The following is a 24,735-nucleotide window of genomic DNA, read 5'->3' as shown; positions in this document are numbered from 1 at the left end:
AAAATATAAATCTTATAATGCTTATGAAATAGAATATGCAGTTCAAGTATTTCAGATTTCTAAGAAAAAACTAACACCCCATTAAAAAGGGACAAATACTAAAATTAGGATGATTAAAAATGTCATAAGTGATCTGTATTTTAAAATATTCTATATACATAACCAAGGATTTTGTAAACAATGAGTTTTTCATCTACTTCATGTGTATATTTTTCTTGCTGTACTTGCCTAAGATATTTAGAATCATGTTATAAATACAATAGCATGCATTCATTCAAAATCACACATTAAGTGTGATGATGGCTGAGCTGATTTAATGAAGCTGGCTTCTATTCTTGGACTGTCTTTTTCTTATTCTTTGTTTTTCTTTTTCATTTTAGTCTTTGAATTTTATTACTTTTTTTACATTAGTTGACATAAACATATTATTGTTCTCATTATTCTGTTGGTCTCATTGGTATTTAATATTGCTTGCTAATTCTTCATTTTGAATTATTTGAATCTATGTTTAAAAAATGAGGTTGGGGCCAGGTGCAGTGGCCCACGCCTGTAATCCCAGCACTTTGAGAGGCCAAGGCGGGCAAATCAGGTGTGATCAGTAGTTTGAGACCAGCATGGCCAACATAGTGAAACCCCATCTCTACTAAAAATACAAAAATTAGCTGGTTATGGTGGCACATACTTGTAATCCCAGCTACTCGGGAGGCTGAGGCAGGAGAATTGCTTGAACTCAGGAGGCAGAGGTTGCAGTGAGCCAAGATTGTGCCACTGCACTCCAGCCTGGGCGACAGAGTGAGACTCTATCTAAAAAAAAAAAAAAAAGAGATTGGGTAAGTTTAAAATTTCCCAGTGTTCTCAATAGATTTTGTTTTCAAGGTAGCGCAGGTCTTAAACATAAAGCTGAAAAGTGTTCAATATTTTTCTGTTATTTGGAAACATTTTGTAGAATATTGCTGTTGTTTTTTCCTTAAGTATTGATGAAATTCATAAATGGGCCTTCTAGGTTTCTATGAGTTTTTCCTGTGCAAAGTCTATTAATATGAAAGTCAATTTATTTACTGTAACAAAAATTATTCAGCTTATAGTTTTTGTGCTAATGTTAAACGTTTAGCTATTTTTGGAATAGGTCTATTTTATTTACATTTTCGTACTTGCTAGGAAAAACATGCAAAATATATTTAGTAGTTTTTAATAATATTTGGATTGTTTTAATATCATTTTGTATTTCTATTAAATCTCATGAGGGATTTAATTAATAGTTTTAGTCTTTTCAAATAATCATTGCTATGCTTTATTGAATATGTTTACTGTCTTTTTTACTTCTGTATTATTATTTTTTTTCTGCCCAGTTACTCTTTCCTTTACTTTATTGGAGTGGTTTGTGTTTTTTTCATAACTTTTTGGAACAGATGCTTAAATGATGGAATTTCTACTATTCTCTAATACATGCAATTAATGTTATAAATACTTTCTAAGTACAGTGTTGTCATCGTTTAAAATGTTTACTTTGTACTATTTTTATTAAGTTCAAATATTTTCTCATTTGCTTTATTTCTCTTTTGACTCAAAGGTTATTGAGAAATGCATTATGTCATTTCAAAGTATAGAGGAATATTTTTAGCTTTCTTGTTTTTAAATATTAGCCCATAAAATATGCAATAAATGATTTAAATTAATTTTAATGTTTAATACTTCCTTTGGGTCCCAGAAATTGATTATTATAGAAAATACTCTGTGTGCCCTTGAAAATAAACATACAAGAATTTAATTTATTTTTCCCTAATGTTTGTCATATAATTACTAAACTTTATTGTATGCTTTTTATATTATTTACTGAAAGAGGTGATCATTTCTGGCAAATTTCTGGATTTTTCTATTTCTCCTTTAAGTTCATTAAATTTTGCTTTTTATAGTTAGAAGCTATGTTATTAGTTGCATACAGATTTCAAATTATTTTCTCTCCTATTTAACTCACATTTTTATCAGACCATAACCCTATTAATCCAAAATAATTTGTATGGCTTCAACAGTATATTAACAATATAAAATGCAAGTTTTCTTTTTATTAGTGTTTCTAATCCAATCTCTTCATTTTAAATTCTGCGTATCCACCTATTTAATTTGTTCATTGAAATATATAGTTATTTTAAATTAATCCTTGATTTTTATATTTCTATTACACTATTTAGTCTATATAAATATATCTCTATATACCCCATACCTATGCATATATAATGTATTTTGTGCATATGCACACATCACATATTTAATATATACAGATATATTCTCTATTTTTTCTTTTCTCCAGCTTTCTTGTATTATTTTTAAATGTTATTTTATATTCCTCACCATTAACTTGTTAATTAAATATTATTTTACTCTTATATGTGTTTACCTGAGAGATTTCAATAGGCTTTGCTGATTTATTAAAATATTATATAAAATGGCACTTCACTTTATGAACAATGCATAGATTAATTAACATATTGCCAGTATATGTTGCTATTTTATGTATTAATTTCATATATAATTTGGCCTCTCAATATGGCATCTTTGTATACAGTCAGTTATCAGTAAGATATTCTACCATGTTTACCACTCTCCTCATTTTACCTTTTCTTATAATTTCTTCCCGGATCATAAGCCTTCTAAATGGAATCATTTCTTTAGTTTGAAGAATTGCTTATAACTACTGTTGAATACATTCTCACTGTTTAATTTTTTTCTAGAAAGGTCTCCTTTTTTGAAATACATTGTAACTGGATATTGATTCTATATTTGCAGTTACTTCCTTAGAAGATTTTCATATGATATGGCATTTTTTGTTGGCTTCCATTTCTCCCATTGACAAGTTAGCTGCTATTTTAATTTTTATTTCTTTGCACATAATGACTCCTTTTTGCTGTGGCTGCTTTAAAAATTCCTATCTTTATTTGAGTTTAAAAAGTATGATATAACTTTGTGTGTGTGTGTGTGTGTGTGTGTGTGTGTTTTAATGCTCCTAAATTTTATAGTGGTTCTTTAAATACTTGTCTATATATTTTATTCATTTTAAAATGTTCTTATTTGTTATTTTTTCAAATTTACTCCTGCCTACATTCCGTCTTCTCCTTTGGGAACTCTAATTGCATTAATATTAGACATTTTAAACATTTTATATTTCTTAGTTCTTTATCCAAATATTTCATCATTTCTTCTTTCCAAACTTCAGTGGAGATATTTTCCTTTGACTTCTCATACAGTTTACTAACTTTCTCCCTAGTTGGGTTTAATCTACTATTAAAACCACTCATAAAGCTCTTAATTTTAGATTTTTCAGTTTTGTAATTTATATTGGAATTATTTTAAGTGGCCATTTATTTACCCCAATTTTCTTTAAGAGAAATATAATTTCTGAAATATTTAAATTGCATTGAAATTAGATTTTTTTTACAATTAAAGTTATATTTATTTCCTGTGAGTATCTTTCTTTGCATTGTCTATTTTGGTTATTGCTTTTTGGAAACATTGTTTTTCTTTGTGCCTTGTTATTTTTTATTATGTTCAAGATATTGTGTTCTCTTTGTGAATGTAGTTTTCTGAAGAATTTACATGTATTATTTTTTACATATTTGTTATTATTTTCTGGCTGTTCTTAACAGGATGTTTAAATATATAAAGCAGGATATCTCTCAGATATATAGGTTTTTAAATATTTAAATAACTATGTAATTATCATTGCTTTGAGATACTTTAGCTTTCTCAGCATTTGAAGCAGTATAATATAAAATTCAGAATGTCATTATGCAAATAATGTTCTGTATTAGTAAGTATTAATTAGTGAGTTGCAGTGAAAGAGAAGGTTATAGAAGAGAACATTTGAAAATATTGGGGCAGGCAAACTGAAACGAACTTACTTTGTTATTTATTTTCTGTGAGCTATTAACATAGAAATGACTTTTTGAATCTCCAAGAAAGGTATAAGTTATCAGACATTGTTAACTTATTTGCTAACAAAACTTTATACTAATAGAAAACCTTACAAGATGAAATTCTATGCCATACACTTTGAGTATTAGACTTAGATGAACTTGAGATAACTTCCATCACTTCCATTATGTGAATTGAAATAATTAAATTTAAGATCAAATAAAGGGTCTTGTTAGCAACTGTCTTCTAGTGTATGAACAGTGTTTCAAAGGAAGATACTGACCATCTGTTCTCTTGTTCCACTGAGAATAAAACAAAAGCACGTGAAACTTATGTTTGAGAAAGGGAGATTCAGGCTAGATGTAAGAAACAACTTATTGACATTAAGGGTTGTTCAAACACAAAAAATTCACTACCAAGGGAATGTATATATATTTTTTCTCTGAACATCAGTAAGAATAAGGCAGACAACCATCTGTCGTAGTGGCTGAGTTCGTAGTCCTACCTGAAAGCACAGCACTGAATTATAAAGCCTCTGGAGATAACTTCCATTTTATAAAGATGTACACAACTTGGAAATGACAGAGATTAAAAACTATAATTTAAAAGGATATACTCTAAGAAGAGCCCTGGCACCAAAAAGAAATAAAAATAAATGTTTAATGAAGTTTTAATTAAGATTTATGTTAATAGATTTAAAATTAAAATGGTAAATTTCTCTCTTGTGTTCTGTAGACTTACTGTGTTTTAATCCCTTTGTATTGTCTATTTTTAGCTTTTTTATATTCAGTCTCCTTTGTTTTACTGCTTTATTTATTTTATTCTAAATAAGCTTTATTAACATATAATTCTCATGCAGAAAAGGCATATATTTTAAGCCTATCATTCAAAGATTTTCAGAAACTAGTAACACATGTAACTAGTATCTAAAACATAGCAAGCATTTTATGAAGAAACCCTGGGAAGTTTTTTTCTCACAGTCTTATTAACCACTAACCTCCAGGCAGCTAACAATCTGATTTAGATCACTATATCTTTATTTGACTATCCATTAATCTATTGATGGGAATGTGGGTTATTTTCTGTTCTTGTCTATCACAGGTAAATCAACTCTAAATATATTTATTGTAGAAATAATTTTGCACATATTTTGTCTTGACTTAATCTGATGTCTAGGAGTGGAACTGCCATTGAATTCAGTTTGCTAGTGTTTTTTGGGAATTTTTGCACCTGTGTTTATCAGGGATATTGATTTGTAGTTTTTTGTGTTTTTTTTAGTTATGTCCTCATCTGGTTTTGGCATCTGGGTAATTCTGGCCTCATATAATAAGTTAGTAAGAATTCTCTCACTTCCAATATTTTGGAATAGTCTTCTTTAAAGTCTGGTAGAATTCAGCACTAACGCCATTCAGTCCTGGGTTTTTATGATGTTGTTCTTTTTATTACTAATTAAATCTTGTTACTGGTTATTGGTCTGTTTGGGTTTTTTAAATTTTTTCTTGGTTTAATTTTGGTAGGTTGTATGTGTCCAGTAATTTGTCCATTTCTTTTGTTTTCCAATTTTGGGGCATACAGTTGTCTATAGCTACTCTCCTGTAGCAAGAATGGTAGGCTTCTGTGGTAGGAATGTGAACTGCTGAAGATCTCCAGCCTACCTGTTTCCCACAATGTGGAGTCCCTCTTAATTCAGAGCCGATCTTAGCCAGGTCCTTTGTTTCCCTCTCTATGCTGTAATCCAGAGTCTGTGTGCCTCAGAGGGTCTCCATCAATTCTTTGCTGAATTTGAGTGTTCTCCCCTAGATATTTTATGTGATGTGTGGCTATCTATTTGTGGTTTTGGTCTTCCTTTGTGGTGGAGTCAATAGTTGGGTAAGTTCACAGTCCTTAACATTCTTTAACTGTAGCAATTTCCATGAGAGATTGAGGGTGAAGGTGAATAGGAGTGAAGGTGGATAATAGATTTATATCAATAATAGATTCAGTAGAAGAGGCCATACCAATGAAGGTTTGTAGAAGCCTGAAGGGAAACACTCATTGCCAGGCATGGGTAAGGGTATTGGTTGTGGCACCCTCAGACCCAAAACTAGAGCAATTTTTGTTTCCTCTTTATCCTGGTGTCAAGGATTGTGAGGATAATTCATTGTGAAGATAAAATAACCAAGTCTCTAGGGTATCTCCTGACTCTTGGGCAAAGCAATTTCAAAAGGTGCCATATTCATCTCATTAAAGACACAAGTCTCAGTGACTTTCTGTGTCACAGGCTGCCATTAGTATGAGGGACCTGCAAAAAGCCAACAGTAGTCATTGGGGGCAACTCAACTTACAAGGTCTTTAACAATTTTGGGTTTTGTTGCTGGAACCATAACCAGTAGGTATAATGTTGCTTCCCTAGCTTTCTTAGGACTTGTTTGATGTCTAATTTGACACAATAGATAAGCTCAGCTGAGGAGTCATGGGCTAAAGAGAAGGATCAATGGTCCTCATAAAAACTGAGCAGCTATGTAAACTGTCTCTTAACATTCTCCAAGTGTGCCCCATTATGTTCACTAGCACTTCTCAAGGCCCATTAGCAGGGTTAATGAAGTGCATTGTGGGGCCCTCAGCCTCTTGAAAATGATTCTCTAACACCTCTCAGAGAATGCTCCTTGAATTCAGGTAGCACCTCTCAAAAGTGTCCTGTGGCATCTTCAGGTTTTTTGCTTCTCCAGAAAATTATTGTGCTGAATTTACCCACCCTGCTCACTCTGCAAATCTGTTAGATTGCTGCCATGTGTGAAGGTCATTTATTAGGTCAAGTCAACTGAAAGTAACTGTGAAGTCTTTATTCACTTGCTGTAATAGTGTAAACAAGGGACCAAAAAAAAAAAAAAAGTGGTGACAACTCTTCCAATGTTCCATTTTCCCCATGCAATGGCACAGATCAAGGGTAAGATAGGTCCAAGAAGCTCGTGCAGGGAGTAGGAATTTTCTCACTGTTGAGGGAGCCCAACAGTTTCTGCTATGTTATGGTGAGAGCTCAATAGTTTCTGCCATTTTATGGAGGCAGTGATGGGAAAATGTGGGGGAAGGGTACAACTAAGAAGATAAAAGTACTGAATCAGGTAAAGAAAGTGTCTTCAAGGCTCATGAAGAGAAGGCCTTGGAATGAAAGGTGCCTAGCTTAGAAATACAGGTGGGCACATAAGCATGGCTGGGTCAGAAAGGAGTGTTGGGGCTGAGTTCTTGTGTGCAAATCCTTCCAGAAACTGCATTGCACTGCCTGTTGGAATCATACAATGTAGATTTTTCACAAGATTTTTGGTTGATTCATTGGGATTTTTTACATAGACAATCATGTAATATATTAAATAAAATTTTATTTCTTCCTTTTCAATGTGTATACCTTTTAAAAACGTGTATACCATTTATTACACTTTCTCATTGCATTAGCTAAGACTTCCAGTATGATGTTAAACGGGAGTGGTGAGAAGAGACATCTTTGCCTTGAACTTAAAAAGAAAGCATCAAATTTTTCACCATTAAGTTTGGCATCTGTAATTACTTTTGGGAAATTCTCATCCATTATTGCTTCAAATATTTCTTCTGCTCTTTTCACACTATTCTTTTTCTGATATTCTGATTATACGTATGTTATGCTGTATTTAATTGGCCTATATTTATTGGATATTAAGTGGTTTTTTAATTCTGTTTTACTTTGCATTTCTGTGTGTAAAGTTTTTCTTGCTATACTTTCAATCTCACTGATTCTTTCCTTAGCTGTAAGGAAAGATGAGCTTACAGTAAACTGATGAGCTCATCAAAGGCATTCTTCAATTCTGATAACACTGTTTTAGATTTCCTTTTGATTCTTTCTCAGAATTTCTTTCTCTTTGCCTTCATTACCAATCTGTTCTTGTATGTTATCTATTTCTTCCTTAAGAATCTTTAATACATTATTCATAGTTATTTTACATTTTCTATTTGATAATTTTAAAATCTATATCTTATCCGAGTATAGTTCTAATGCTTACTTTATCTTTAAAAAAGTCATTTTTCTTACTTGTTGGCATGCTTTGCAATATTTTAAAGAAACTTTTGATACATAATGGTTGTACATATTTATGAAGTATATGTAATATTTTGATACATGCATACAATGTGTAATGATTGATGGGATAATTGGTATATCTTTAACCTCAGACATTTATCATTTGTTTGTGATAGGAACATGAAAACTGGATATGTAATTTGGTAAAGGAATTGAAGTAAGCAAGTCTTTTCTTTGAATTCTTATTAATGTTTGTTGAAAAGTAGGCTGTGTTTCAGAGGCTTTATCTTCCTCTATGTATTCTTTTTAAATTTTTTAAATTTTTTTATTTTAATAGGTTTATGGGGAACAGGTGGTGTTTGGTTACATGAATAAGTTTTTCAGTGGTGATTTCTGAGATTTTGGTGCAACCATTACCCAAGCAGCTTACACTGTATTCAAAGTGAACTCTTTTGTCCCTCACCATCCCCACCCTTTTCCCTGAGTCCCCAAAGTCCAATGTACCATTGTTATGCCTATGTGTCCTCACAGCTTACCTCCCACATATGAGTGAGAACAAACCATGTTTGCTTTCCATTCCTGAGTTACTTTATTTAGAATAATTTTCATCCAGGTTGCTGCAAATGCCATTATTTTGTTCCTTTTTATGCCTGAGTAGTATTCCTTTGTGTATATATATATATATATACCACATTTTCATTATCCACTTGTTGATTGATGGGCATTTGGGCTGGTTCCATATTTTTGCAATTGCAAATTGTGTTACTATAAACATGCTTGTGCAAGTATGTTTTTTATATAATGACTTCTTTTCCTATGGGTAGATGCCTAGTAGCAGGATTGCTGGATCAAATGGTAGATCTGCTTTCAGTTCTTTAAGGAATTTCCACACTATTTGTCATAGTGGTTGTACTAGATAACATTTCCACCAGCAGTGTAGAATTGTTTCCTTTTCACTGCATTCATGGCAGCATCTATTATTTTTTGATTTTTCAATTATAGCCATTGCATTAGTCCATTTTCACACTGCTGATAAAGTCATACCTGAGACTGGGCAACTTACAAAGGAAAGAGGATAGAACTCACAGTTAATGGAGAACTCACAGTTCTGCGTGGCTGGGGAAGCCTCATAATAGTAGTGGAAGGCAAGGAGGAGCAAGTCACATCTTAGGTGGATGGCAGCAGGCAAAAAGAGAGCTTGTGCAGAAAAACTCCCAATTTTAAAACCATCAGATTTGGTGAGACTTATTCACTATCATGAGAGCAGCAAGGGCAAGACTTGCCCCCATGATTCAATTACCCACCACCGGGTCCCTACCACAGCTCATGCAAATTCAAGATGAGATTGGGGTGGGGACACAGCCAAACCATATTAGCCATTGTTGCAGGAATTAAGTGGTATCAAATTGTGGTTTTAATTTGCATTTCCTGAAAATTCATGATGTTCAGCATTTTTCCACGTGCTTGTCCATTTGTATATCTTCCATTGAGAGTTTGTCTATTCATGTCCTTAGCCCACTTTTTGATGGGATTGCTTGTTTTTTTTCTTGTTGATTTGTTTGAGTTCTTTGTAGATTCTGGATATTAGTTCTTTGTCAGATTACAGATTGTGAAGATTTTCTCCATCTCTGTGGATGGTCTGTTAACTCTACCGATTATTTATGTTGCCAGGCAGAAGCTTTTTAGTTTAACCAAGTCCCATCTATTTATCTTTGTTTGTGTTGCATTTGCTTTGGGTTTTTGATCATGAAGCCTTTGCTTAGCCAATGTCTAGAAGGATTTTTTTCTAATTTTATCTTCTAGAATCTTTATGGTTTCAGATATTAGATTTAAGTCTTTGATCTATCTCGAGTTGATTTTTTATATAGGGTAAGAGATGAGGATCCAGTTTCATTCTTCTACATGTGGCTTGCCAATTATCCCAGCCCAATTTGCTGAATAGGGTATATTTCCCCTACTTTATGTTTTTGTTTACTTTGTCAAAAATTAATTGGCTGTTAAGTGTTTGGCTTCATTTCTAGGTTCCCTATTCTGTTCCATTGGTCTATGGGCCTATTTTGATACCAGTACCATGCTGTTTTGGTGACTATGGACTTTTAGTATAGTTTGAAGTCAGGTAATTGGGTAATGTGATGCCTTCAGATTTGCTGCATTTTGCTTATTCTTGCTTTGGCTATGTGGATTCTTTCTCGGTTCCATATGAATTTTATGATTTTTTTTCTAGTGCTGTAAATAATGATGTTGGTATTTTGATGGGAATTGCATTCAATTTATAGATTGTTTTGGCTATATGGTCATTTTCACAATATTGATTCTACCCATCCGTGAGCATGGCATGCGTTTCCATTTATTTGTGTTGTCTATGATTTCTTTCAGCAGTGTATTGTAGTTTTTCTTACAGAGGTCTATCACATTCTTGGTTAGGTATAATTCTAAGTATTTAATTTTTTGGCTGCTATTGTGCAAGAGGTTGAGTTCTTGATTTGATTCTCAGCTTGGTCACTGTTGTTATATAGGAGAGCTACTAGTTTGTGTACATTAATTTTGTATCCTGGAACTTTGCTGAATTCATTTAACAGTTTTAGGAGCTTTTTGGGTGAGTTTGTAGGGTTTTCTAGATATAAAATCATATCATCAGCAAACAGCAATGGCATGGCTTCCTCTTTACTGATTTAGATACTCTTTATTTCTTTCTCTTGTCTGATTACTCTGGCTAGGACTTCCAGTAGTATGTTGAATAAAAGTGGTGAAAGTGGGCATCCTTGTCTTGTTCCAGATCTCAGGGGGAATGTTTTCAACTTTTCCCTGTTCAGTATGATTTCATCTGTGAGTTTGTCATAGATGGATTTTATTACTTTAAGTTATGTTCCTTCTATGCCAATTTTGCTGAGGGTTTTAATCATAAAGGGATGATGGATTTTGTCAAATGTTTTTTCTGCATCTATTGAGATGATCTGTGATTTCTGTTTTTCATTTTGTTTATGCATTTTATCACATTTATTGACTTACATATGTTAAACCATCCCTATATCCCTGGTATGCAACCCATTTGATCCTGGTTGACTATGTTTTTGATATGCTGTTGGATTTGGTTCACTATTATTTTATTGAGGATTTTTGCATTTTGTTCATAAGGGATATCAGTCTGTAGTTTTCTTTTTTTGTTATGTTTTTTCCTGATTTTGGTATTGGGGTGATACTAGCTTCAGAGAGTGATTTAAGGAGGATTCCCTCTTTTTCTATAATGTGAAATAGTGTCAATAGTATTAGTACCAATTTCGCTTTGAATGTTTAATAGGATTCAGTGTTTTCTGCTGGTTTACATTTCTATATAACTGGGCCTCACACAGAAAAGAAGCAGTAAACACTTCCATAAATAATGTGAACCTAAAATCACTTCTTCACAATATTCAATTCTATATTTGAATTTACAACTAGCTATTTACCTATATATGAATTCTTGAAATCATTTAGCCAAATATCTAGATCCTTTACTAAGCTTACTGGATATTTTTATCAAGATAGATATAATTACTTGTTTAAGAAAAACACCTATACCCTATGAGGAAGGTAAGGAAAAGTATAATCTTCCTCTATAAATATAGATTATTATTGTCCCTAGGGTTAATAAGAGAATCAATTCTACTCATAAGCATCTGTTCTTATAATGTATTCATGAAAAAAATTGTAATGTCTAAGGATATTTAAATTATGAAATCTCATATGTAATTCAACCAATACAACATTACATATCTTTGGTTTGGCTATTTTAATTATGAAATCTCATATGTAATTCAACCAATACAACATTACATATCTTTGGTTTGGCTATTTTTTTTCTTGTTCTGGATGTTTAAAAAGGGCCATGATTTAAAACATCCAGATATTTATTTTGTATTTCTTAAGAATGAATTCTCTGTAAACTTTAAGAGTAAAAAGTGAATATAATAAAATATAGAACACATTTATATTTTACAGTATTCAAGGTAGGGAGATTTAGTAGCTCATACCATTTTCTCTCACAAAATGCACATTTGCAGTATATCAAGTTTTTAATTGTTTAGGGAGACTAAATAAGGGATAAGCTAACAGTTTTAAATGGGTATAAAATGCTATGTAGATACCAACTTTAAAAATGAAGCTTTGATGTGTGTCTTCTTTTCATTTTTGCAATTAATTTTAGCTTTTGAAGCTATTTGGAATTCAATTTAAGCCCACAGAGTATAAAATTATGCATTAACTTGAAGATAGACCCATATTTAGCAAAAACAAGGTTGGAAGATCAACAGGATTCAAGACAAATGTTAATTTCAAATGTATAAACTCAACTTTACCAGGGCTTTTAAACCAACTAGCACATTTGTCCCTAATCAAAGGCTTTAATTTAATCATCAGAGACTGTAAGACACCTTTTAATTCTGCCTCTCATATAGGGCCGACTAGCATTTATTGTTATACCGTTTTAGCAAATACCCACAGATGAATCTAAAATTGAAATACAAAGACACTAAAGAGGTTTTATGTAAAATTTCCCTCTTTGAAGTTAATTGCGTTAGGAGTTGGGAAAAAGAAGTTAAAACAAAAGTTTTATACTTAGCATTTTTCTGCAATAAGAGGGAAGGGAGTTTCCAATGTGAAAATCCTCTATGTGCACCCAGTGTTAATATGATGTTCTAGATGCATATTCAAAATGAGCAATACCTTGCACAGATTAGTGACAAAGTGAAGTAAAACTGGATCCCTTATCCTTAGGTTTGTTTCCAATAGTGATCTTCCCTGCTACATTCTAACACATAAATTCTCATAGGCTGTGAAGTAGCAAAAAGACATCTTTGCATTGTCAATCTATTTGGTTAGTTTCATTATTGAATTAGATTGCCATATCTTTTATCTATCTATCCAAATATTAGATAATTAGTTATTTATTAGGCTATCCAATTATTAGACAATTAATTAAATTTGCAGTTGTAATCTGTGGAACCAATTTTACTCTCATCATATTGATTAGAATAAAGTCTTCAGTTTTATCAAAATATTGGAGAGTAAAATGCTAGTCAAAATTGTTTTACAAACATTCTTATTAATCATCAAATCATTAATATGAATATGTATTATATTTCCTATTATAAGGAAGGATATTTGTTCAACATGAGGCAGCTTCAAATGGTTGGCAATCAATGTTCTTGATTGCTGATGCACTGAATTTCTATAAGTGCAATCATTAGTGCTCCCATGAACTCTTACTAGTTTCCTCATCTTCTAACTCTACTGACATTTCCCTTGCTTTCCTATAAATTTTAGAATTGTTGAAGGTACCTTCAGAAACACCTTGAATCCAGTAGTGTTTTCAAGTGGGACAATGCTTTTATTGTATAAATCTATTTTAGAATTCTCCTTAAGGAACAAAGATTATTACCACACACACAAAAATAATGTTTTACATGAAGTATAATATCTAATGTATTTCAACAGGACTTGTATCTTGATTGATATAAAGATACTTTAGAATAGCATTACAAAAAGAAACCTCCAAGAACATGCTTCACTTAGCAGCTACAGTTTCAATTTCCTTTTCAACTATTTACATTTATGAATCTTGTAGAAAACAATAATTCTGCTCACATTTGCAGTGAGCTCTTTTATTCTTTAGTTACATTGGGTGAACAATGTTTTATGATTTCATCAGCCACTTGCATTTCCCGAATAAATGGAAAAGAGTACAAATGAGCAAACAGATAAAGAAAACGTAAACAGCACCAGAGGAAGTCATATGTTAAAGAATAAGCATGGATAAATAACATGAAAAATTCTTCAGGCTGCTCAATGCATTTACCTGAGGATGTTAGTAAATAGTTAACATATAATTCAATCACTTTTATGTTCGTGATGATAAAAACACATTTTGAAAAGTAAGATTATGCTTTGATTTTTTTGCCTTTAGTTTTATATAATTATGCTTTGGGGGACTTTTATTATTTGTGATATAAAAATATATATCTTTTTAATCTTAGTGTTTTATTTTACCATTTTATTTACTTGATGCTTATAAAATTTTTCCACTTATTAATCAAAAATTACTGTTTATTATATTGATTCTTTTTTAGACAATATTCTTCAGAGAAATACTTGATTATTCTTAGATTTATTCTAAATTATAAATGACTAATTTTTTACATTGTTTTAGAAGATAAATATGTATCATATTTAATATAAGCTACTGAAACTAATTATGTATATTTATAGCAAAATATTAACTCTAGAATTCAATTTTTAAAGTCAAAAGCATTAATTGAGAACATATTGTCTCACTGAAATAAGCAGTAAGGCCTAGACCATGAATGACAAATAAGAGAAATTCAATAAAATAATACATAGAAGTGTATTACATGAACTGCAAGAATGAAATATTAAGTAAAATTCCATTGTCATTTTATGTATTATTTGGTAAGTTTGCTTCCCAATGTATCTGAATAAATATTACCTATAGTATTTCCATTCTCTGTTTAACTAAGGTTGAAGTATAAATGTGACTTATTGGGTTCTGGTTAGGGAGCCCAGAAGCACTGCGCCCAGATTCTTAACAGATCTACTTTAGTTAGGACCCTTTTGGAAAACAGGACTATAAATAAAATTTTCTATATAATACATTGTTTTTGAATTTCTGGTTTACAAGTTGAGTTGCCTAATTTTGTTTATCTAGTCATGTTTCTTATTTTCAAGCCACAGACTTCCTTTTAACACACACTGCAATAAAACTGACTAAAGAATTCCAAAGAGTTAATGTTGTTCAAAAAATATTCTGAAGGCTTTCTTGGTATATTTATATCCTCAATATATAAATATACGAGAATTAACATAAAATAGTCTCTAACTTGCAATACAAACTGCTAAAAATAAAAATGGAATGTACAATGTATAATGATATAAGTTCCAGCATGTATTATTAGTTTGATTTACTACTAAACCTCATCCTTTCTGCTCTTATTAATATTGTGTATAATATCCACTACATCTATTTAATACAAGATGAAACTTTAAATTCATGAATTTCAAATTAGAACTCATTTAAATCTCGTAGAATTACAAAAGAATGAGCCATAAGCCCAAGTCTTTCTAACTGGCCCACGAATAGCATTATCGTCGTTAATGGTCAGTCCACATAAGGTATGGAAATTTAATTATTCCCTTGAGTTCTTTATAGTTCAGGCATCCAGATGATAGGCTATAAAATAGACCATATTTGCTCTTTGCTGCAGATCTTTCTTCATTGTGATAGAGTTGGCCAAGAGTACCTATAGATATACTATTTTTCAAATCCAGATATTGTACAGTAAGTTTGCATACAAAAATATATATAATGTATCCTATCATAATTTTGAAAGACTTAAAATCCAGCACACCCTGATAAAAATAGAAATAGGTGAAATGCAAAAGGTGCTTTAGGAAGATAATAATTTATTCTAGTTGAGAATTACCCAAAGAATTTGCATAGCAAGCACAGAATGTTGTGAAAATTAAGTCAGTTTTATAGGCTACATAATTATTATTAGCATGCTATTATAGAGAACATTTCAGTACTTACTCAGTTGATTCTGTTTATTGTCTATTCCCACTGATACTGCAGCCATCTATGAAAGAGACTAAATCATTCAATATGGCTCTGGTCCTGCCACAGAAAATAGTTGCTGCCCAACAACACCCTTTTACAGAGGAGCTGGAAGAATTCTAAATGAGAAAGGTTTTTTTTTTGTTTTGTTTTGTTTTGGCAGCCTTTGCATTTGGCATAAAATAGGTGAATACCTTACAGTGGCTGATGCCTTGACGACCAGTCTTACAAATATCACACAGAACAATCTCTCTGGACAGAAAAAGGGCATGTAAATTAGCACCTCTATGGAAAACTGTATGGAGATTTCTTGATTTCTCAAAGAACTAAAAATAGAACTACCATTTAATCTAGCAATTCAACTATTGGGTATCCACCCAAAGGAAAAGAAATCAATATACAAAAAAGCCACCTGCACTTGTTTGTTTATCTCAGCACTATTCATAATAGCAAAGTCATGAAATCAACCTAAATATCTATCGATGGATAACTGGATACAGAAAATGGGATATGTATATACACACACATATATATACACACACATATACATATATATGTGTATATATAATATAGATACACACATATACATATGTATGTGTATATATAATATAGATACACACATATACATATGTATGTGTATATATAATATAGATACACACATATACATATGTATGTGTATATATAATATAGATACACACATATACATATGTATGTGTATATATAATATAGATACACACATATACATATGTATGTGTATATATAATATAGATACACACATATACATATGTATGTGTATATATAATATAGATACACACATATACATATGTATGTGTATATATAATATAGATACACACATATACATATGTATGTGTATATATAATATAGATACACACATATACATATGTATGTGTATATATAATATAGATACACACATATACATATGTATGTGTATATATAATATAGATACACACATATACATATGTATGTGTATATATAATATAGATACACACATATACATATGTATGTGTATATATAATATAGATACACACATATACATATGTATGTGTATATATAATATAGATACACACATATACATATGTATGTGTATATATAATATAGATACACACATATACATATGTATGTGTATATATAATATAGATACACACATATACATATGTATGTGTATATATAATATAGATACACACATATACATATGTATGTGTATATATAATATAGATACACACATATACATATGTATGTGTATATATAATATAGATACACACACATATACATATGTATGTGTATATATAATATAGATACACACACATATACATATGTATGTGTATATATAATATAGATACACACACATATACATATGTATGTGTATATATTATATAGATACACACACATATACATATGTATGTGTATATATTATATAGATACACACATATACATATGTATGTGTATATATAATATAGATACACACATATACATATGTATGTGTATATATAATATAGATACACACATATACATATGTATGTGTATATATAATATAGATACACACATATACATATGTATGTGTATATATAATATAGATACACACATATACATATGTATGTGTATATATAATATAGATACACACATATACATATGTATGTGTATATATAATATAGATACACACACATATACATATGTATGTGTATATATAATATAGATACACACACATATACATATGTATGTGTATATATAATATAGATACACACACATATACATATGTATGTGTATATATTATATAGATACACACACATATACATATGTATGTGTATATATTATATAGATACACACATATACATATGTATGTGTATATATAATATATACACACACATATACATATGTATGTGTATATATAATATATACACACACATATACATATGTATGTGTATATATAATATATACACACACATATACATATGTATGTGTATATATAATATATACACACATATACATATATATGTGTGTATATATTATATATACACACATATACATATATATGTGTATATATAATATATATACACACACATATACACATATACATATATTCTTAGATATATATGTATATGTGTGCATATATATGTATATATGTGTATATATACACATATATACATATATAGTTAGATATATATGTATATTCTTATATATGTATATATATCTTAGATATATGTGTATATATATATACATATATGTATATGTATATATGTATATATGTGTGTGTGTATGTATATATATATATATGGAGAGAATACTATGAAGCAATAAAAAATAATAAAATCGTAGCTTTTGCAGCACTATGGATGGAGCTCGAGGCCACTATTCTAGTGAAATAATTCAGAAACAAAAAGTCAAATGCTACATGTTCTCTCTCATAAGTAGAACATAAACAATGAGTCCAGATGGACATACAGAGTGGAATAACATACATGAGAGGCTCCAAAACCTGTGAGGGTGGGAGGAGAAAAGTTTGAAAAATTACCTTTTGGGTACAATGTTTATTATTCCCATGATGGATACACTGGAAACCCAGACTTCACTACTAGGCAATATTGCCATGTAACAAAACTCCATTTACTCCCCTTAAACTTTTTTTTATTTTTTTAAGTGTAGAGAAATGCTGTCAATACAAACTCACCCCAGGGGAGACAAGGCCCCAAACTTTAATTGTCATGTGGAAATATTGTTGTTCAGATAGCTGGGTATAACAATACACAAATATTGCTTCCACTTAAATTTTGTTTAACTGACAGAATATTTTAGTTGAAGTTGAATTAAATCGCATTAAAGAAAACATTATATACAAACTAAACATCTTTACCAATAATATAACCAGAAAACTGCCAATAATATTTGCTGCAATTCTGTTTTTAATACCCAAATTTTCATTACCACAGAAGTGGATAAAATTTTGCCAAGTATAATTTCACGAACTGCTTCTTTTTGGGTCCTTTAGAGTATCCCCCCCCCTCTCTCTTTTACATTCCCTTGATCCTTAATCATCTTCTTTTCCTTTTACTAAAATAAAACAAACAAACAAACAAAAATATCCATTAAACCAAAAAAAAAATCTTTTTTTACAAAATAATTTATACTTATTTTTGTGAAATCAGAAAGTTTGTAAAACAATGAAGAAAAACTAAAGAAAAAAGGATATATATATATATATGCACACACACACATACGCACACACACACATATATATGTGATCCTTGAACAACATGAGTTTCAACTGTGTGAGTTCACTTATAAGTGTTTTTTTTTTCCCAACAAATACAGGCCACTCTCTGTATCTGGGGTTCCTCCTCCACAAGCAAAGGCAGATAGAAAATACAGTACTCGTCGGCTTTTCATTCTGCAAATATAGAGGGTTGACTTTTCCATAAGTGGGTTCTGCAAGGCTGACTTCAGAGTGGGCTTGATTATGTACAGATTTTGGTAATCTGGTGGAGTCCTGGAACCAATACCTCTCAAATACAGAGGCACCACTCTGTGTGTGTGTGTGTGTGTGTGTGTGTGTGTGTGTGTGTGTGTGTGTATCAGTATGCAGAGATAAGAATTATCAAGTTGTGAATACCTTATAAACTTAAAATTATGCCTATTTGCAAATCTGTTATGTGACTCTCATTAGTGCACATATTTTGTTCCTTGCATTTGCAGAGATGCTTTGTTCTATACTTTTGCAGAGATAGTATTTTGGAAATACTATGATGTTTAGTCGCTTTCATTATCTATTATAGATAGCAATATAGTTATTGCCATCTATAACAGAAAATAATCAAACTTGGACAATCTATCTATTGGGTGCAATGTAAAATATTTGGGTGATGGGTACACTAAAAGCCCAGACTTCACCACTACATGATATATCCATGTTACAAAACTGCATTTGTACTCTTTAATCTATGAAAATGGCTTTAAAAAAGAAAGCACAAGAAAATGTTCTGGGTGATAACTTTATCCTATTACTGTTTTATGTGGGTTACGGGGCCATAATATTTTCCAAAACATGTTCTCTTCTACATTTGATATTATTACATGTTTCTGTTGTTAAATAAAACCTCATTAAAGTTTTTTAAAAAATTATAGCGCGTAAGACAGCGAACTGTCTTTTAGTTACACTTTAAAAAATACCCACTGCCATTGCTTTTCTACCTTGATATTCTCCATCTGTGTAATCAGTCCTTTACACTGGTTCCCGTCTCTGTACTGAAATGGCACGGTTCAATGAGTTTATAGTCAACTTCACCTGTTGGCAGGAAAATAATAAATTTAGACTGAGTGTAGCCTGAAAAAAAGCTCCCAGCCATGCTGAAGCCATTGATTTAGTGATACTTCATATGTCACATTACACATAATCAAACATCCCTGCTGGCTATAGCAGCCCATGACTCTGCCACTCAAGAATTCCTTATGTGTTGTGTAAAAACATCATGAATTATTTGCAGTAATTTTGTCCTATCTATGCTTCTGCCATTGCTATCCCAAAATGATTAATGTTGCTTCTATTGAGGGTATGGTCTGAAACTTCAGTCTAGGATTGCCATTTGAGTCTGAGGAAAAAAAAAAGTGTTTTTTTTTTTATGTTTTAAATATTATGTTATCCAATTGCTTAGGTAATGTTTAACTAAGTTAATTAGATTTTGGAGAATATTAGAATAAATTGGACATTGGTGGTTCATAGACAATAGACACCATGAATACAAAATCACCAGTGTTAAAAATGTAAATTGTGGGAGAGGTGTATATTTTTCTACTTTTGAGTATCACCTAAGTTGCAAAGTTGACAATACTTGAATGATACTGTGTTTTTATGATGATATAAATTCCACCAGATACTTTTTACTATTAACCTTAGAGCACAACTGGAGTCTTCAAGTTGAAAAAGTAACTCACTGAGCCATAGGGCTCTGGGAACTGGTTGGTCATAAGAAAGAGCATGGATAGTGTATGGATGAATTCAAAAGAGAGGAGTCATACATACTCTGTGCAACACTCTGGACCACTTTGTTTATTCACCAAAAAGGCTATTCAAGTCTGTGATTTCTGTCATGGGTAGCAACTATCTGGGGCCAGTGTCATAGGCAGTAATGGAATTTACCAAGACAGTTGTAGGTAAAGAAAGACATATTTATTAAAGAAGGTATGAAAATGCATTGCAGGACTGCAATGGGGAGCACAGCAGAGAAGGGGATGTCTACAAAAAGAGAACGGCTGGAAGGAAGTTTACAGGGTTGTGTGGGTGGCAGCTACGTGCAGAATGAGGTCTTGCTGCTGGGGCCATGCATGGAAGGATGTCATTTTGCCCACGGGTTGTTTGTGATTAGTCATCTTTCAGAACAATTGTTCATTGTTCTTCTCACTTGGGGTCACCCCCAACCTGGGACCCTTCCTTGTTGTTGCCTACTTATCTTAATTGCCAGGACTCCAAAACTTCCTTTTCATTTCCGCCACTACTGTGCTGTGTACGCTCTTATGCTCTCAGTTCTGGTCTTCTGGAATATGTTATTAAGGTATGTTCTTGCCCTCAAAGTCTCTATTACTTACTTATTCTAACTAAAGCCATTCTACATACAATAACAAAAATTATCTTCTAAAGCAGACTTCAATCTATTTTCTAGTTCAGAACAGTCCCCAGAAGTTTACAAGAGCTTGGATTCCTCATGAAAATGATGACATTTTAAAATCTGTTAATTTCCTATCTGTGAAGCATTATCTCAACTATTCCTTTCATCAAACCTCCCTCACACTGGGAAGTCTGTCTTTCCCTGCACAATATATGCAGTTTCACGACACTTTTAGGAAACTCTGTTTTTTTTTTTTATTTCATTTTTCCCATTCATCAAGTGCTCAACAACAAATGTGTCCTATTCTTCATAACTTTATTTTCTCAACCTGAAGTAATCTCATTCTCATTTTAATTTTCTCATAGCATTTCTCTTTGAACAAATCTGAATCTATTACATTAAATTTTTTGGATTTGCTTTGGTTTAGTTCACGTATTTTAACAACTCACTGAGAGCAAGCACCACGCATGTTCATCTTTGAATCTTTGAAGTCTGTTGTTATACCCTGAACCTCTTTGCTCAATTAATTTTTGTTGACTTGGAAATGAATGGTATTTTACCATATTAATAATTTGATTAATCCTAAAGATTTCCAGATATAAAGATACGTTTCATAAGATTCTGTAGTAAAACTTATATTTTTATTGCCATTTTGTAATGTAGTTTATTTGCAAGCTAAAAATAAGTATTTCGAAAGAAAAAAGATGGCCAATTCTGAGTGTACGGTATAATGAAATATATGAAGTGATATAAAGCTTTTAAGTGTATAAAATTTAATACTTTAATAAAACATTATTATAGACTTCATTTTAAGTAATGCAATTTAAAATATATTTTCTAAGTTTTTTTTCATTGTTTTAAAAATAAATGCCAAATATCTGTTAGCTTTTTTTATAGCTCACTGTTTTATTCTCTACTTTTTCTGGGTGTCAGGATGTCTATCAGCTTGCTTGTTAAAATTCACCACATGACTAACTTTCCTTATCTAATACACAGTCTGCATATGGTGATGATATTTGTGGGAAATGCCTGAAACATATTCCACCTCGCCCTCCCACCCTTATGTTACTGAGTCCTTCAAATAACATGATAGCCAGAGCTGAAGAACAATGCAACAGATGCTCCCCCTCAGAAACTAACTAAAAGGAAAAGATTCTAAAATACCGTCAGTGATACAATCTCAATTTATATTCAAATTAATCACAATTTATGTCCAAAATAATCATCATACTAATTAATAATTACATCATATGAAAATGGTGCAAATAGAGAAACAACAAGCAATTTCTCATTTTAGATGGAGATCCATGCATTTTGCAGTCCCAGGACTTAAGTCGGAATTGTGATAGCTGGCAGTTTAGTGCAAAATTCCGGGCAGAGAGAATAGGAGCAAAATTTAGAGAACTGCCTCAAAAGATTGTGCTAAAAACTAATATACTTGGAAGAAAGTGAAATGGAAATACTATGATCAAAAGCACACATTTTAAGCAGAAACATGGAATAAGTTATTTAAGGTAAGTAATATATATTAGAATATTATTTTATTCATTCCATCTTTAGTTTATTCACTTAACAAACGTTTACTGATTATCATATTCTAAGCACCATGCCAGTTGCCAGCATAACTAATGCGAAAGAGATGTGTCAGTACCTCTTTGAATCTCATAGTTGAATGTAAAATATAAATATAATAAAAATACAGGAAATTTTGGTACAAAATGTTTAGAATGAAATATAAACACACAGAGTGAAGAAGGGGAGAGAGAGAGACAGAGAGAGGAAGGAGAATGATGAAGAGGGGAGGGAAGGAAAGAGGAGGGCTGGAGAGTACAAGAGAGAAGAGGAGAGGAGAGAATAATTAGAATATTATCTTGAGGGTGGCCAAAGGTATAAAATCTACAGAACTTTAAAGAATTGAAATATTGAAAATATTTGCCTACAGATGAGGAAGAGAGGAATCAGTGGACAGATTCAAGAAATATGCAGCACTTACTTGTCTCTTGAATGATAGATATGAGCTTGCCAATTGGATAAGGGAAGATGAACATTTCAGACAAAACATACTGCACATTCTTGACATTATCACAGAGTTCGAATGTAGAAAAGTGCATATATAATTTGTTCATATGTGCAAAAATGTGCTACATTTGTATCACCATCTTATGCTTATTAAAATATTTAATTTCTATTGAACAATTTATTTATCTAGCATCTCTCAGTTACCTGCTCTTGTTTCTGTGTACTGATTTTACTATGCTAGGCAGGGCTAGCAAGTTGCAAATTGCATTTCTCAGGCTTCTTTGCCAAATGGCTTCTATTTAAAAGAAGTACACTATTGAAAACAAAGAAACTAATGATGCAAGCAAAAGGACATGTAATCTCAAAGCATTATCTTAAATGAAAAACATCAGACTCAAAGTTTACATACTACATGATTCTAGTCATGACATTCTGGAAAAGGCAAAAAGTGGTGGTGGGATGGGGATGGAATGAAGAGAAGATTAGTGATTGCCAGAGACTTGGTGTAAGGTTAGGCTTGAACTAAAACAAGGAGCAGCGTAAAGAGATTTTGGATCCAAGAGAATTGTCCTCTAAGATGAATTTGTTGGTGGTAGCACTATTTTAGGCATGTGTCAAAATTTACAATATTGGGCAACAAAAGAGTAAATTTTCTTTCATCTAAATTTTTTAAAAAGCTAAATAAAATTAAAACGATCAGTGTATACTTGTTCATTGTAAAGGCTGGTTCAACTTGGAATATGTTTAAATTTGTGTAATCATGTAATGAAATGTTTAGAATGAAATATACTCAGAGTCTAGAAGGGGAGAGAGAGATGGAGAGAGGAAGGAGAATGAGGAGGAGTGGAGGGAAGAAACTGGAGGCCTGGAAAGTACAAGAGAGAAGAGGAGAGGAGAGGAGAGAATGATTAGAATATTATCTTGAGGGTGGCCAAAGGTATAAAATCTACAGAATTTTAAAGAATTGGGTGATGCTATAGTTGCAGAACAGCTTGCTTATTCTGTTTCCATTTTTTTCTATATTTACTGCATTTGAGAAGTTATATCTGTGGCTCATGATGAGATATTCTACCCAGATTTCCCATTAAGTCCTCAGTGAAATTGATGTTACTTAACAGGAATTGCTTCTCCCAGGGCCCCTTCTCTTTACCAAGTTCAACTCATCCAATGGCTTCTTAACATAATATGAATGTCTAGTCTCCTCATCCCAACTTGAGATAATTCTGAATGGCCATCCTAGTTTCAGAGGAAGAAGCTGAGGTCTTCATTGAGATTACAGCATCATCCAGTTTCTTGCTCTGTCTAGTGCTGACTCCTTCCTTTTCTATTCCTTCTAAAGAAGGGAAGTACAGTAGCACTCCTTAATAAACTTCACACATACTAATCTAATCTCCATCTCAGATTCTACTTTCCTGCTAATCCAGTCTATGATAATTCCCAATCAAGAAAAATAAAGCTACTTCCCTTATAGTGAACTGAATAATTAAAAATATAGAGTTACTCTAAAAACAGTAAGAAGCAGAAGTTGGAGAATATCCCAAACTATATTTAAACAGCCA

At 31.6% G+C, this 24,735-nt stretch overlaps 1 long non-coding RNA gene across 1 annotated transcript in view, besides 1 other annotated feature; it reads right to left on the bottom strand.

The window, feature by feature from the left end:
- Positions 1 to 24,735, bottom strand: part of LOC105377436 (uncharacterized) — a 60,586-nt gene that overhangs the window by 33,470 nt on the left and 2,381 nt on the right. Inside the window, exon 2 of the long non-coding RNA XR_939214.2 lies at positions 19,746 to 19,839. This is a non-coding gene — a long non-coding RNA (uncharacterized LOC105377436). The remainder of the gene's footprint in view (positions 1 to 19,745; positions 19,840 to 24,735) is intronic.
- Positions 20,817 to 21,111: an enhancer, noted in NCBI's record as "tiled region #6313; HepG2 Activating non-DNase unmatched - State 24:Quies". NCBI's record gives its function as "activates a minimal TATA promoter and a strong SV40 promoter by Sharpr-MPRA in HepG2 cells {active_cell/tissue: HepG2}" and the evidence as "EXISTENCE:reporter gene assay evidence [ECO:0000049][PMID:27701403]".

Source organism: Homo sapiens, chromosome 4, assembly GCF_000001405.40.
Source record: "Homo sapiens chromosome 4, GRCh38.p14 Primary Assembly".
NCBI lineage: Eukaryota > Metazoa > Chordata > Mammalia > Primates > Hominidae > Homo > Homo sapiens.
Note: the sequence above shows the minus strand (reverse complement) of the source record. Positions and strands in the feature narration are given on the sequence as shown.